The sequence below is a fragment of the Homo sapiens genome, chromosome 12 (genome assembly GCF_000001405.40).
Source record: "Homo sapiens chromosome 12, GRCh38.p14 Primary Assembly".
NCBI lineage: Eukaryota > Metazoa > Chordata > Mammalia > Primates > Hominidae > Homo > Homo sapiens.
The window spans coordinates 106,595,281-106,611,346 of NC_000012.12; the positions used below are offsets into that span (position 1 = coordinate 106,595,281).

The 16,066-nt window shown below is 42.9% G+C and overlaps 1 protein-coding gene and 1 long non-coding RNA gene across 3 annotated transcripts in view, besides 1 other annotated feature; one reads left to right on the forward strand and one right to left on the reverse strand.

The window, feature by feature from the left end:
- Nucleotides 1–16,066, reverse strand: part of LOC100287944 (uncharacterized) — a 278,422-nt gene that overhangs the window by 98,871 nt on the left and 163,485 nt on the right. The window lies entirely within an intron of this gene.
- RFX4 (regulatory factor X4) overlaps nt 1–16,066 on the forward strand; it is a 179,800-nt gene that overhangs the window by 12,277 nt on the left and 151,457 nt on the right. Inside the window, exons 1-2 of one of the 2 annotated variants that reach the window (NM_001206691.2) lie at nt 5,868–6,066; nt 13,517–13,603. In NM_001206691.2, coding sequence (NP_001193620.1) covers nt 5,997–6,066; nt 13,517–13,603 — 157 coding nt within the window. In that variant the 5' untranslated portion in view covers nt 5,868–5,996. Of the gene's footprint in view, nt 1–5,867; nt 6,067–13,516; nt 13,604–16,066 lie in introns of those variants that run through there. The other variant, NM_213594.3, reaches the window with a different exon arrangement.
- Nucleotides 5,751–6,045: a silencer, noted in NCBI's record as "tiled region #8958; K562 Repressive non-DNase unmatched - State 8:EnhW". NCBI's record gives its function as "represses a minimal TATA promoter and a strong SV40 promoter by Sharpr-MPRA in K562 cells {active_cell/tissue: K562}" and the evidence as "EXISTENCE:reporter gene assay evidence [ECO:0000049][PMID:27701403]".

The following is a 16,066-nucleotide window of genomic DNA, read 5'->3' on the forward strand; positions in this document are numbered from 1 at the left end:
ACTCCAGAGCTAGAAGGAAGACCTGAGAGTTTTACATTCTAGTTCACCTCCTCTACTGCATAAAGTTCAGGAGGTCCAGTCATTCCCTCATCCTGGTGGGAGACAGCAGCTCACACTGCCATTCTTTGGAGTGTACTGTCGTGGGTGTCAGTGGGCGACTGGGTGCCACTGGCCTTGAGATGTGACTCTAGCAGCAGGCTGCTGAGGATGCCCACGGGCACTCCTCCCTGAGTGGGTGCCTCCATGCAATGTGTGCCTTTCATCTCAAATCATTCTCAGAGCTTCTAAGTTCAACCTGGCACCACCACTAGGCCAGTATCTTCCCACCTGCCAGTTACTTTGGGAAATCTGACATCTTACACACATCATCAAGGGCTTCATTTCTATTTACTTACAGACATGATTTCACTTAGAATAGGTTCAACATAAAAACCTTGCTGTTAAAAGAACAGCACCTTCCATTTGTATAGCATGTTACAGTCTATAATCATCGATAGAATCATTAACAGTGCGGGCTCTGGAATCCAGCAGGCTTCCTGAGAATTGGTTTTGCCATGGGCTGGATATATGAACTCAGCAACTTAGGTAACCTCTCTGAGCCTCAGTTTGCTTTTCAGTAAAATGGCACTATTCAAATACCCACCTCATGGAGTATTGTGAGGATTAAATAAAGTAATATGTAAAGGAACCAGCACAGGTCTTGGCACATTGTAAAAGCTCAATAAACAGAAGCTGCTTTAAGCACCACTTGCAAGGAGAACCTTGTGGTCCTCTAGTGACTTCCAAGACCTTTTCCCCCAACCCCCACACACAAAGACCACATAGGATGATATGGTTTGGCTCTGTGTGCCCACCCAAATCTCATCTTGTAGCTCCCATAATTCCCAGGTGTTGTGGGAGGCACCTGGTGGGAGATGATTGAATCACAGGAGCAGGTCTTTCCTGTGCTGTTCTTGCGATAGTCAGTGAGTCTCATGAAATCTGATGGTTTTAAAAACGGGAGTTTCCCTGCACAAGCTCTCTTTGCCTGCTGCCATCCACGTAAGATGTGATTTCCTCCTCCTTGCCTTCCACCATGATTGTGAGGCCTCCCCAGCCACATGGAACTGTGAGTCCAATCAAACCTCTTTCTTTTGTAAATTGCCCAGTCTCAGGTATGTCTTTATCAGCAGCATGAAAACGTACTAATACACAGGAAAAGGAAACAAAATTTTATAGAATTTGTTCTTCCACTGTGTTCAGTCTTTTGAGGCAATATCTCATAAACCAGTGAATTGGAAGGATCATTCATTCCCATTGTACACCTGGTAAAACCAGTAAGATTCGGTCACATGCATTGGTCTGTACAGCAACTGAGTATCCAAACTGAGGTTTGTTGTTCCAAAGCTGATCCTGCTTTGTTTAAACCAGGCCACCTATATCTCAATTAAAAACTTATAAGAAAGTGTATTTTTCATTCCGATTTTATATGGTTATTTGGAGCTTTTCCTTTTTCAAGAGTTTTGCCTGTGTAATTTTTATCTGTGTTTAGCACAGTACATAGCATCTGCTAGAGTGGCTTGCACATAGTTAGTGCTTAATAAATGTTTATTTAATATATAAATCAATCCATTTTTAATATTACAAAGGATGCTGCATCTCTTTCCTTACTTTCTAGGAAGCCTGGCCCAAGGGCCCCTGCAAACTTGTTTGTGCCTGATAAATTACAAACTTGTTTGTACCTGATAAATTACAGATTAACTAACACTCTTTGGATCCCTTACTATGTGCTAGGCACAGTGTGAGTGCTTCATTCATTCATTTCTTTCCCTCCCTCCTTTCTGTCCTTTCCTCCACTTCTATTGATCTGCTATTCTGGGCCAAGGGCTGTCCTAAATACAACGAATAGTGGGTGAATAAAGTACAATCAGCACTTAAGGAGCTTATATTATTTCTTCTAATCCTCATAATAACCTCATGGGGTAGTTTTTTTTTTTAATAGGAAGGAAATTGAGGCCCATGAGGTTAAGTAATTTGCCCAGGGTTGCAGAGCTTACTTAGTCAATTGTAAGGGGAGGATTAGAATTAGTGTCTTTCTGGCGTCCAAGGCCAAGTTCTTTTAATTGTATTGGGAGATCCAAGAATCAAACAGGAAAGGTGATTTCAGGTACAGACTAAGGTGGGATGCCTTAGAGGTGGGCCTGATACATTCGCTAAGACATACAATGCTTAAATCATGTAGGCACCTGATGTGCCTTATTAACTCAATTCTTACATAAACCCTGTGAGCTGTTACTGATACTACTCCGTTTTACAGATGAAGAACCGAAGGCTCAAGGAGGTTGAGTCCCTTGCCTTAAGGTCACAGAGCAAAGAAGTCAGAATTGAATCTAGCAGTTTGGCTCGCCAGTCCATGGTCTTAACTATTATACTGACATTAAAAACAATAACATGGCCAGGTGTGGTGGCTGAAACCTATAATCCCAGTGCTTTGGAAGGCTGAGGTGAGAGAATCACTTGAACCCTGGAATTTGAGGCTGTGGTGAGCTATGATGGTGCCACTGCATCCCAGCCTAGGCAACAGAGCAAGATCCCATCTCTAAAAAAAGGTGGTTGGGATGGGGGTGCAAAAATAAAAAAGAAAAAGAGGAAAAAGGGTGCCTCTGTCAAAAACAAACTATTGGGATTACGGTTTTTCTGTGTGGCTAGAACTTGCTCTGGTCCAGGTAGTATTCTATGTGCTTTCTGTGCATTTGTTCACCTAAATCTCACACTATTAAGATGAGGTAGACAGATTATTATTATCCGTATTATGCATAAGGAGACACTGAGGTTTGAAGAAGTTAATTTGCCTTGATTCATTGCGCTAGTAAGTATTAAGCCTAGAATTCAGAAAATTCATTGGTAATTAGTCACTAATCCCACCTGGTAACTTTTCCTTCTTCTAAGTGACTCTCAGGAAATGATTCAAAACAAAGAAAAAATGATATGCACCAAGTCGTTTATTGAAACATTATGGAAAATGGAAACACTTGCTCAATGGAACGTTTGGCATCTTTCAAACAATGATGAATATGAAGACTGTAGTGACCTAGGAAAAATCTGCATAATAATAGAACATTAAGAGAAAAACGAATGGAAATGCTATGTTTGCTAGAGTTACAGTTCTCTTACGTGCACTTATAGATATGAGACTTGCGACCAACACACACAAAAAAAGAAAAGAAAGGTAGTTACCGGGTTAGAGTGGTGGGATTGTGGGAAAATATGTTTCTCTTTTCAATATTTTAAAATGTAATTTCTGCAGTAGACTTACAGGAAAGAAAAAAGCATTTTGCCTAGGAGAAGGGTGTTTTGGTGGCTTACCTCAAAAGTTCAGGCTGGGTTAAAATCTATTTGGCTTCTGTAGCCAGGAGTGCCTGGCTCCTGAGCTTTTGGGGGAATTCACATCCCCAAACAGAGCAGGAGAGGTAAAAATAAAATAAAAACCCAAAAGTAGAAAAGGCAATGATGTCAAGGATGGAATAATATCAGATGCCGTGCAGAGCGAGTAGCCTTGGCCTCAATGATTCTTTTCCTAATTTTATGTTTTAATAATATTGTTATAGTAGAAATAGAAACAAAGAAAAAAGTCTGCTAACATTAAGTAGTAGTAGGTACACCCTTCCCCAGAAGTTGAGGGAAAATGAAATTTTTACAACCTGGTTATGCAATAATGTACATTAATGCTAGTGTTCCCAGGGATATTTTCAGAGCCGAGATCTGCTTTTACATTGAATTTATCTTCAACAGGAGATGGCACTGAACACCTTAGGTTGAATTTTCTCTAGTTTCTGAAGACTCTTGGTGAGTTCATGATCTCTGAACAAACGGCATTTGTGCATCGTTGGGAGTTTCCTCGTTCTTTTTTTTTTCCTCCTCGTTGTTTTTTTTTTTTTCTTGTACATTGCAGGCAATGACCCTTAGTTAATTTCCTTGCCCACTTTAGAGTTTTACATATTGAGTTTCCCTAAAGTGGGAAAGGGCAGCCACATTATTGAGCACCTATTGTACAATTGGTGTTATGTTAGACACAGCTTAGAATTCACAATGAGACTTTAATGTATATATAATTACGAGTATATAACCACAGGTGAGTAGTTAGGTTCGAGTCAGATTCAAATCCCTGCTCAGCAGCTTAACAACTGTGTGATCTTGGGCAAGTCATCGCTGTGATGATGATGATGATGATGATGATGATGATGATGATGAAGGTGATGGTGCTTGTGTTGGGAAGCCATATTCCAGGAGAATGATATTAGCGTCATCTCAGGCTCACCTGTGTCCTATTGTGATTGAGACTCCAGCTGATGAGGAGGAGACATAGAGCCAGTGATCACATGGATTGGCTGGGGAGTGAACACAGTTAACTGGAAAGAGTTCTTATCTTTTCTCCACTACATTCTTTTTTTTTAAACAAATTACTTCATCCCTCCAGTTCAGGTCTCTAAGACATAATGAGCCTCTAGCGGCCTCCTACAGAGGGGGACAAGTAAGTCTCGGTTTGCCTGGCTCAATCCTGGTTTATGCATGTGATCCTGGCAAAATTATTAATAATATTGCTTTTCAATCTCAAAATGTTCAGGTTTGGATGATAAGGGATACGGTCACCCTTACTCCGTGGCCTCCTCTTCCATTCTCTCCCCTCTAAAATATGTTTAGCAGCACCAGATGGAGCTGCCCACAGAACTGCTTTGCTTATGCCCCACTCTACTCAAAAACTTTATGAGCTTCTCAACCACCTACTGAATACAATCTAGACTCCTTAACCCAGCATTGAGTACAGAAGCAAGGCTTATGTATGTGCATCTCCTATAGCATCTCATAAAGTGCTCATCAAGCAGGATAATATCAGGAAACACGTGTTGATACCTGAATCAATGTGTGTAGTCATGCTCAGGCTGCTTGTCAGTTTCTTGAAAGCATCTTTCTTCTGCCTGCTTCAAGAACTTCGCACATGCTGTTCCTTCTGCCAGGAACACGCTTCCTCCCTCTCTACCTGGTTCATGCCTTCGCATTCTTTAGCTGCCAGTTTAATGCTGCTTCCTCCAAGAAGCTTCCTAACTCCCCCAGATTAGACCCAACCCCCCTTTTTTTCTCTCGCGTGGCACTCTTGGTAATTGCATCTCTGTTTGTATGATTATTTATAGTTGACCACACTAAACTCTAATCTTCCAAAAAGAACTGTCTATCGAGGCTGTGTCCCTCCTGTGTAGCCAGCCCCTGGTGCATGGTATCCCATAAATAGTTGCCAAATGCAGACAGGGATGAATGAATGTGGGTTACCCTTTCTGAGCCAGTGCAGTCCGCATCACCTGTTTAAAGTCCTCCAATAGCTTCTTAGCGCACTTGGAATAAATGTGAAGTTCCTAGGAGGGTCTGCGAGTCCCTACATACTTTGGATTCTTCCCAACTTTCTACCTCATTTCCTGCTGCTCTCCCCACCTCCCGCTTCGTCATGCTGGCCTCCTGGCTCCTCCTCACACACCCAAGCCCACCCAGGCCCTTGCACTCCAACATCACCTCCTCAGAGAGGCCTTCAGTGTCCCCACTGCCCAAAAAGCACCCCCACCTCTCTTGATCTCCCATTCTATGGCTTTATTTTCTTCATAACACTCACTTTCTGCTGTCTTCTTGCTAATTTGTCTCTGTCTCCGCCACAGAATATAAGCTCTCTGAGAGCAGAGACCTTGTCTGCCATGTTGATCACTAGCTGCTCAGAGCCTGTCAAACAGTAGGTTCTAAATCAATATTTGGTAAATGAGGGAAGGAATGAAAGCAGAGGCAGGGCAGGGCCCCTTCCTGGAACCCAGCAGCCCCTGGGGCAGGACCTGTGGCGTTGCCATGGCAACCCACTGACCTGAGCCACCCCCTGGAGAGGCCACAGCTGCTGGCTTCCTGGGCTTCTCCAAACTCCTGTGTGTCGCCACTGCCACCGGCAGGGAGCCAGGAGAGAGACAGAAAGGGGCTGAGACAGAATGATCAAAAGGAGAGCCCACCCTGGTGCGGGAGGCGACAGGACCAGGCCTCGACGGCGCCGTTCCACTGGTAATGACCAGGGCCCAGGGACAGGAGACTGGGGTGGGCCTGGCACCCTCAGGGGGAACTGGGGCCAGGCCCGCCTTGGTAGCTGTGAGTGTGGCATGTCAACTCTTTTATGTAGCGTTTCTGGAGCTGCAATTTCCTAAAATAGGCCTCAGCACAGTGCCCTGAGAGACTGTTGATATAGTGTGAATAATGGCCTCTATTAAATCCCGGTGACACTTTTTAAGTCAGGCAGCGTTTTCTGCAGGTATTGCATAAGTCAGGACCTCCCTGTTCTCATCCAGTGCCTCAGGAACAAAACTCAGCGTGTTCACTTCTCCACTGCTTGAACACCACGGCTGGCTCCCAGCTGCCTGCAGGCTTCGCGGCCTGGTGGGCCCGGCGGGCAAGGCCTTTGCAATCTGCTCCTAACGGACTCTTCCACCTGTCTCCCACCACTGGGAGTCACAGGTCGGCGAACTCTTCACCTTTCCCAGAACCACCAGGCCTTTCACAGCTTTGTGCCTTTGTCCTGAAGGCAGCCCTCCTGCCTGAAATGCCCTGCTTCCCTCCTTGGTCTGGCAGGTGCTGAATCCTTTAAGGACCAGCTGAAATGCCACCCCCTCTGTGAAGCAGCCAGGCTTTCCTCTCCATGGAAGCTCTCCTCTCTATGCCCCACAGCATCTTATTATAATACCAAACACTCCTGGTACCTGCTTGCTTGTAGAGGCAGTGTGGGCAGTGTGGGCATGAGGGCAGTGAGTGCACCCCAGCCTCGGAGTCAGGCAGACCTGACCTAGCTCAGCCATCAACTAGCTTCTCTGGATCTGAGTTTCATTCTTGCAAATCAAAGTTAGTCAAGTCTCTGCTTCAGTTGCTGCGAGCAACAGAGATGAAGCATGTGGAGCGGGGCAACCAGCCCTGGAGGTTACTCAATAAATGCCAGACATCACCATTAGGCATCTGTCCCTGTCACTCAGCCGTGAGTTCCTGGTGGATAGAAACCATGCCTTCCTCATTTTTCTATGGCCCTTAAAGCCAAACACACTAAGTGCCTTACCTTTATAATTCCAGTTAATCTTTGAAGAAATCAGGTAGGTAGGAATTTAGGACAATTTAGGAACCATCCCAATGTTACATAACTAGTAAGTGGCCAGGCTGGGATTTGAAATCCAGTCAGATTTGAGCTCCAAACCCCACATTCTCCCAAGCCCGTCTCTGTCTTCTCTTTCATGTTGCACCACCTCCCCGTCAGTCACTCTGCATCAGCCACCTGAGCCTTCTTGCCATTCCTCAAACAAGTCAAGCATGATCTTTCCTGGGGTTGGGGGTAACCTTCGCCCTTGTGGTCCCCTCTCTCTGAATCTTGGGAAACCTTGCTCCCTCACTAAACTCAGTGTCTGCTCATAGGCTCTTTCTTCCCAGAGGCCTTTCTGGTGGAGAATCCCCCCTCCTTGTCTCTCATTCTCTATTCTTTTCTTCCTTTACTTTTCTTCATCACAAGCATCGCTACAGCTATGTGCCCAGTACTGTACTAGGCTCTTGGGGACAAGGTACTGAACAAGATAGACAAGGTCATTCGAACTTACATGTTAAGGGTGGGAAAAATAAGTGATTTAAAGAAATGGAATAAACAAAAAAACCCAAGATACTTTTAGGTCTTGAGACGCTAGTCCACCAGAGATATCCTGTGTAATATATGTGTGTCCTGTTGAATAGCTTTTGTTCATCCCCTCTGTTTGAACATCGAAGGCACTTGATAATTATTGGAAAATGAATAAATGGATGCAGGGATAATCTAAGAGGTTGCTGTCAGTGTGTGCTATAAACTTCAAGGATTACCTGGCTCTTGATAACCGTCTTAATAGGCCCTCCCTGCCAGGTCAATATGGGTTTGTGAGGCACCACTCTGAACCTTGAACTGCCTTGGACGTGCCATGTCCCTGATGCGGCTACTTCTGGGTTATTCTTTGCTGCTGTAAAGAGAATGAAGCCTTGTAGAAAACATGATAACTATATATGGCTCTGCTCAACCTCATTATATGTACCCGAGAAAATAACTTCACATTGGGGTTTCCAAATCTTCAGTCCAAAGTGCAGAGGCATAAAGATCTTCCTCTAAGGTATGTGGGCTGAACTCCCTGAAAGTGAAAATCCATAGGCATTATCTGCCTCCTCCTTTCTGCCCATAATCCCAGATGAATCAGGGGAAGGGATGCTTCACAGCCCAGGAGCCTCTGCTCACGGCTGTAGGCAAATCCCGTTGGGCACTTAGCACAAGCTTGGTCCTTACTAACAGGTCAGATGATTTTTATAGATCAAGAATGAGGCAATTGGGAATAGGAAGTTATCCCAGTATGAACTGAACTCTCTTTCTCCTATGTCCCATGCAGTCCCCAGAACTCAGTACCAGTATTGCAGCATTGATCACAGTCTGCCTTCCTTTTAGAACTTTTGCTTCAAGCCTAACTTTCCATATCTATAAATAGAGATATGAAAACATAACATGTAATGTTGTTCTGGTCCCAATTTAGACAACATATGTGAAAATGGCTTCTATGGTACCTGCCACACAATAGGAGCTTAATAAAGTTTTTAGAAAAAGCATGCATTTATTGTGCGACATCTATGGAGCCAGCCACAGCGCCAGCCACTGGGTGTGAGATGATGGACAAAAATGACAGGGTCCCACTCTCATGAGCTCAGGGAGTAGCACGTGCCTTACTTTCTACTTGGTAACTAGAGGGCAGAAGCCAGTCTTATTCATGTTTATATCACTACAGCTTCTCTCTCTTTTTTTTTTTTTTTTTTTTTTGAGAATGGAGTCTCACTCTGTCACCCAGGCTGGAGTGCAGTGGTGCAATCTCGGCTCACTGCAACCTCTGCCTCCAGGGTTCAAGTGATTCTCCTGCCTCAGCCTCCTGCGTAGCTGGGATTACAGGCGTGTGCTGCCCACACCCGGCTAATTTTTGTATTTTTAGTAGAGACGGGGTTTCGCCATGTTGGCCAGGCTGGTCTTGAACTCCTGACCTCCGGTGATCAGCCCGCCTCAGCCTCCCAAAGTGCTGGGATTACAGGTGTGAGCCACCACACCTGGCCGCTACAGCTTCTCTTTAGCACAGCTTCTTGCATCTGGAAGGCACAAAATAAATGTGTGTTGAATTTTGCTTTATTTGGAAAATCGCCTTTGATATGTTATACTTTTCCATGCCTTATGTGGTTAAAAAAAAAAAAGAAAATGATTAGGAAATTCTATAGATATGTGGATGTATCTACTTATATGCTATGCATTCTTTGACATGTGTGTCACTAATGTAACAGTTATTGAGGCCAGACTACAGGAAAAATTTTATAACAGTACTAGTAGAGAGTCAAAAGAAATAGAATAAAACGGGCTCCATTATTAAGTGGTTTAAGTTCTAAACTGAAGAGGCTGTTGTGTATGACAAAGGCTGACAAAGAATATGGAAATGAATTTAGCAAAATTATGTAAGTAGAGTTTTAGGAAAAGTTCGAATACAAAGCAGACTGAGAAAAATGCTGCAGAATTGGCACATTGTTCTGGGGACTAAACAGGACATAGAAAAAGGAGAAAGCTCAGTTCACATTTGGAGAGAGAACTGTGATTATGACCTGAATTTGAATGCTGGTCTTCCTCTTACTAGCCAGATGACTTTGGACGAGTCACTGAATCTCTCTGAGCCTTAGTGTTCTTATCTCTAAAATGGGCCTATTAATAGCACCCACCTCTAGGATTGTGATGAGTATTAAGTATGATGATGTATGTAATGCAGTTGTATGATACCTCACCCATAGTGAGAGCTCAATATACAGTGAACTTTATTATTATGAAATCACATCATCTACAAATCAATAAGGTGGAAGAACACAGTGTTTCATTCAAAATTCAGTATACATGTCATTCTGCTTAAGTAATTCTTGACCTCTGCAAGACCAAAATCCATTGTTAAGAATAATTTTAAAGTATATAACATTGACTTCAGTTGACCTAAATAGAGGCCTTCCAGTCATAGGAAGCTACCTGGCTTGTGAGACATGAATTGGAGATGCCACTCCTAAGGGCTCCACTAGGGAAGAAGTCAGAGGTCAAAGTGCACCTGCAGATCCAAGGCCCGAATCTGGTTTGGATATCTCAGAGTGTTGCATCCACATAGTCTGAAATGCAAGACCCTTGAATGCATGAGAACTCTAACTGTCCAGAACAACATAGGTGATGGTTCTTTCACTGCTCAGACCATTGTCTGAACCCTCAGAGTCTATCCCAAGTGCCACGTGTTCACATGGACATTGATTAACTAGAAGACACCCAGAAGCAGGTGAACTGGATGGCAAAGAAATGGGAACAATTTCTTCCAAGAAAGAGGTGAAACAAATGTGGTTCTTTGATGGGGGTACTTCAACCAGAAATATGGTGAAATGATGGTTGTCTTCTCATATCTGCAATGTGCCAGTGAGACCAGACTTATTCTGGATTGCCCCAGGGAGCAGAGTTGGCTACAGGCATAGACTGTGGGGTCAGAGTGATCTGAGTGGGTGCAATGGGTGAGATGTCTTCTCTTTCATTTTCATGGCACCTCCCACCCTCTCCCACTTCTTGTAGCCTTGCTTTCATCTCTCTCCAGTGTGGGATTGCACAGTGTGGAGGACAGGTGCTGCCGTGAGGAAAGTTCTTTCTTTACTCAAACTCTTGCGGGTGGGCACTGTGCTCTCTTGGCTTACCTGGTTAATAGAACCAGCTTCTCTCGGGAATGTTGCCACGAAGTTTTCAGAGAATGTCCCATCAATCACAGGGGGTTCTCACCTGCAAGAACAGGCCCTTCTAAGGACCTTGATGTTATCAGGCCTGAATCCAGTGCAGGCAAATGGGTGAGAGGGAGAGTGTTTCCCTTAGTTCCTGATGAAAGGGGGATTGGGGTGTAGATGTGAGTGTGTGTGTGAGAGTGACTGGGTGTGTATACCTATCTAGGAAGACCAGGGGTTGGCCCAGAACTATAGATATTGCTTTTGGTGGTAAGGTTTGGTGGAGGCAGGGGCTGCAAACTTTAGCAGATGCCATCTAAATGTAGCTATGGCTGCTGCCAGGGAAAATGTGCCAGGACTTGAAAGGATGAGAAGAAGTGAGTGGAGTCATTCTGGAGAATCCTGAAAAGAACTCTGGAGATGTGTAACCAGATGTGCGTTTGGATACAGTGTGATGACAGACACCTACCTTGTGCATCCCAGCTTTGAAACATTACAAGCTGTCTGTCTCCACATTGTGCATTCGATGTCTGGAAGGTGCAGCGTTTTAATGTTTTGAATTTCTCTGCTCCTCAGTATTTCCTGGGAAATATCAGATTTCCATATCCTCTCAACAAGCTGGCCCTTGTTCTTCCCCTCAGATATTTTCCCCCTACTTATTCACAATTTTGGAAGCAGCTTTTAAAAGAGCAGTTTGTTGGGACATAAAATACAAAACAAAACAAAAATCCGACATTTCTCCCAGCTGTTGGCATTGATTTCCCCTCTCCGCATAGCTTACTCGTCCGCGTGGCTTCTTTTTATGGTGTGTAACCTAAGGTGTTAACTAATGATCTTTTCCTCGGCTCTTTGAATTATGAGGAGTCACATTACTTAATCCCTCTAAATCCCAGTTGCTTTCTAGGAAAAACAGAGATTAAAATCCTTGCTTCAGAGAGTTGTTGTGAGGACTCAATGAAATAACTTATGCAGAGGGCCTGGCATGTTCAAATAGGTGTTCAATAAATACCAGCTCCCAGATCATAAAGAAGGCAATGGGAAACCACACTGTCCAAAAGCCTGCAGCCATAGGTGTCGCCACTTCTGCTATAATACCCCATATGCCTTCCTAAAAATCACCACATTATACAGAATCGGCCAACAAAGACCACTCAGTTTACTGGAAAAATAAGCTTAGGGGCACAATGCTGAAAAACTTTGTCAATGACACATAATAAAAGATAGAAACCTAATAAAAATGATATCACAGTTTTGCACGTGTTAAATGGTTTAGAAATACACAAATACAATAAAAATGGCACTTCACCTTGGAAAAGACCTGAAGATTGCTTTTAGAGGTGGGTATCAGAAGGGTTGCAGCCTGTGAGTTATTATGAAGTGAGCAGGTGTGACTCATAACACAACGTGGACCGAAGTAGCTGGTAGGTGTCTGAGGTGTGAACGTGAGTGTGTTCTGCATATTTCTGTGGTGCTAAGTATAATGGGGGGTGGGGTGGGGGGGGCGTGGAGTTTTCTGCATTCACCTAATTTTTTTATGAAATAAATGGAGCATAAAAAGACACAAAGTTTGCACTATGCTCAAATTGTTCCCAAATATATCACTTGCATTGGGACGCATTTGTTTTCTCAGGACAAGTGTTATAGCAGAGCTGACTGTACTTAGCTGATGTTGTTGAATGATGAATGAATGAATGAATGAATGAATGGTGGGTGGTCTAGAAAACAGAATAAGTATTACACTACATTGCAAAAAATACATTGGTAGCCTTTGAAATTGGATTAAAAAAAAACAAACCATAGTCTTGGATTTTAAAAGGGCTACATAGTGGCTGGGCACCATGGCTCACGCTTGTAATCCCAGCACTTTGGGAGGCCGAGGCAGGCGGATGGCCTGAGGTCAGGAGTTCAAGACCAGCCTGGCCAACATGGTGAAACCCCGTCTCTACTAAAAATACAAAAATTAGCCGAACTTGGTGGCGGGTGCCTTCCCAGCTACTCAGGAGGCTGAGGCAGGAGAATTGCTTGAGCCCGGGAGGCGGAGGTTGCAGTGAGCCGAGATCACGCCATTGCACTTCAGCCTAGGTGACAAGAGCAAAACTCCGTCTCAAAAACACAAAAAAAGAGGGGCTACATAGCTACCATAGTGCTTTTGATTTCTTCTCCTGCTGTGGCTTCCAGTCTGTGAGAGCTCTTTGAGGGGTCCCTGGCCAAAGGGAGGCAAGCTACAAGGTTCCCTGCCCTCTTTCAACCAGAGTCCCTAAAGTTTTACCTGCTTTTCTCTTTGTTTTCACTTGAAGAAAAGTTCTGCTGCTAATTCACAAGTTTACAAATCACCACCAGTGGTTCAGTTGGCCAAGTCTGGTTTTACAAACTGCTACTCAGGAACATACCTTCTTTGCTCAGAAAGATAATCCTCAGTTGGTGCTACAAATACTCCAGAATTCATGGAATCTGACCAAGAAGTACTCAAGTGAGGCTTCAAAGAGCCATTTTGCATCCAAACTACTCAGCAGTCTCATCAGCAGCAGCAATGGTGCACATGGAACTCCATGCAAAATCCCATTCCAATCTGGGCAGATGCCACATGAATATTGATGAGCATTTAAATCTAATGCATTTATGATGTTCTGTCTCTTCACAAACACCCACAGCAATTCTGTGATTTTCTTTTTTCTTTTTCTTTTCTTTCTTTCTTTCTTTTTTTTTTTTTTAGAGAGCTGGATTGAAAGATGTCTCAACGAAAGTGAAAACAAACGTTATTCCAGCCACACATCTCTGGGGAATGTTTCTAATGATGAAAGTAAGTGCTTGAAACTCATTCTTCCATGACATCCCAGACATGGCCAATGTCCTGATGGGAGGGTAGTGCCACTAGATTGCTAGGCTGGGCCAAGTCACCTGGAACAAGACACTCTCTAGCTATTTATGAAATATCCCAGGTCCTCTCTGTAATATTCCACAATGGGGAGAGGAATCCATTCAGGAAGACCTGGAAACTAAGACCACAGCAAAAACTTGCTGTTTACATACTCATCTTCTGCAGGAGACTTGCTAGCCTGCATTCCCAAAAACCTTGTTATAGTGACGCTCTAGGCGGGCAAATGTGGACCCTGGTTGGGAAAGGCCATTCTCAGTGTCCACTGTAAATATGGGTTCAAAGTAGTTGTGTCACAGGATAGTTGTTTTAGCCATAAATGTCCTTGATATCAGAAAGCAGAAATTTCTTCCGGTTCTTGGACTAGAGAGCTAGAGTTAACTGAAAGATGTATCATCCTGTGTTTACACCTTGTCCTGTGTTATGTCAGACTGGGGCTTCTGGGTGCTATATTAAGAGCAGTAGGCTACATGGGACTTGTATTTTTTCCCTTAAACACTAAAAAAGAGGGATCAGCTTATTATAAGTCTAATTTTTTGCAGAGTCAGAAGTGTCTTTCTTCCATGGTTGGTAAAGTGCATCTCCTTCGTTCAGTTTTCTGAAAGCATGAGCCCCGGCCCACCTGCTCCACAATCCCCTAGCATGTTTGCTAGATCTACTCAATAGCCCCCTCCTGAGTCTTAGCTGGCATTGTCATTCTATCATCACCATGTCACTTCATTTTATAAAATTGAGCTACATTGAACATAAAGTATACAAATCTTGTGTAATTAGTTTGATGGGGTTTTTTTTTTCTTTACATATTGTATCCACTGGTGTCATTACTACCCAAAAAAGATATAGAACCTTTCTTGTCCCCCAGGAGGCTTCCTCATGTCTCCTCCCTGTCAATCACTACTGTCCTGACTTATCACTATAGCCCGTTTTTGCCTGCTTTTAAAACTTCATGTAAATGGGATAATGGACTCTGTATTCTTTTGTGTGTAACTTTTCTCAGTCAGTATAATGTCTGTGAGATTCATTCATCTTGTTGTCTCTAGCAGTAGTTATTTCTTTTTCATTGCTGTATAGTATTTCACTGTATGAGTATATCACAGTTTACAGATCCTTTTAAGTGTTGATGAATATTTAGTTGTTTCAAGTTTTTGATTATTAAGAATAAAACACTACTCGAGAGGCTGAGGCAGGAGAATGGCGTGAACCTGGGAGGCAGAGCTTGCAGTGAGCCAAGATTGTGCCACTGCACTCCAGCCTGGGCAACAGAGTGAGACTCCATCTCAAAAAAAAAAAAAAAAAAAAAGAATGAAACATATCTGAACATTCTAAGTTTTATTTAAGTTTGGCAAAATCTACATAACATAAAATTTAGTATTTAATCATCTGAAATGTACAATTCATTGACATTAAGTACATTCACCTTGTTGTGCAGCCATCTACACCATTCATTTCCAGAGCTTTCTTCATCTTCCTAAACTGAAACTCTGTACCCATTAAACAGTAACTCCTCATTCTCCTTTTCCCTCAGTCTCTGACAACTACTATTCTACTTTCTGCCTCTGTTAATTTGACTGCTCTAAGTATCTTATATAAGTGAAGTCATATGGTGTTTGTCTTTTTATGACTGGCATATTTCACTTAGCATAATGCCTTCAAGGTTAATCCATGTTGTAGCATGTGTCAGAATTTTCTTCTTTTTGAAGGCCGAATAATATTCCTCTGTATGGATATGTCACATTTTCTTTATCCATTAAGACATTGATGGGCAATTGAGTTGTTTCTGTCTTTTGGTCACTGTAAATAACGCTGTTTTGAACACAGGCATACAAATATCTTTTCAAGTCTCTGCTCCTAATTCTTTTGGCGGTATATACCCAGAAATGAAATTGTTGGATCATATGGTAACTCTGTGTTTAATTTTTTGAGAAACCACAAAACTGGTTTTCATAGTGGCTGCGTCATTTTACATTCCCACTAGCAAGGCACAAGAGTTCCAATTTTGCCACTTCCTAGTCATCATTTGTTATTTTCTGTTTTTTTTTTAATAATAGCCATTCTAATGAATATAAAATGGTATCCCATTGTGGTTTTCATTTGCAATTCCCTAATGATTGGTGATGTTGAACATCTTTTCATGTGCTTATTCACCATTTGCATATCTTCTTTGGAGAAATGTCTAAGTCCTTTGCCCATTTTAAAATCAGGTTGTTTTCTGTTGTTTAGTTGTAGGAGTTCTTCACATATTCTGGATCTTAACCTCTTATCAGTTATGTGACTTACAAATATTTCCTCCTATTCCATGGGTTGCCTTTTCACTCTGTTGATTGTGTTCTTTAATGCACAGAAATTTTTATTTTGATGCATCCAATTTAACTATTTTTTCTTTTGTTG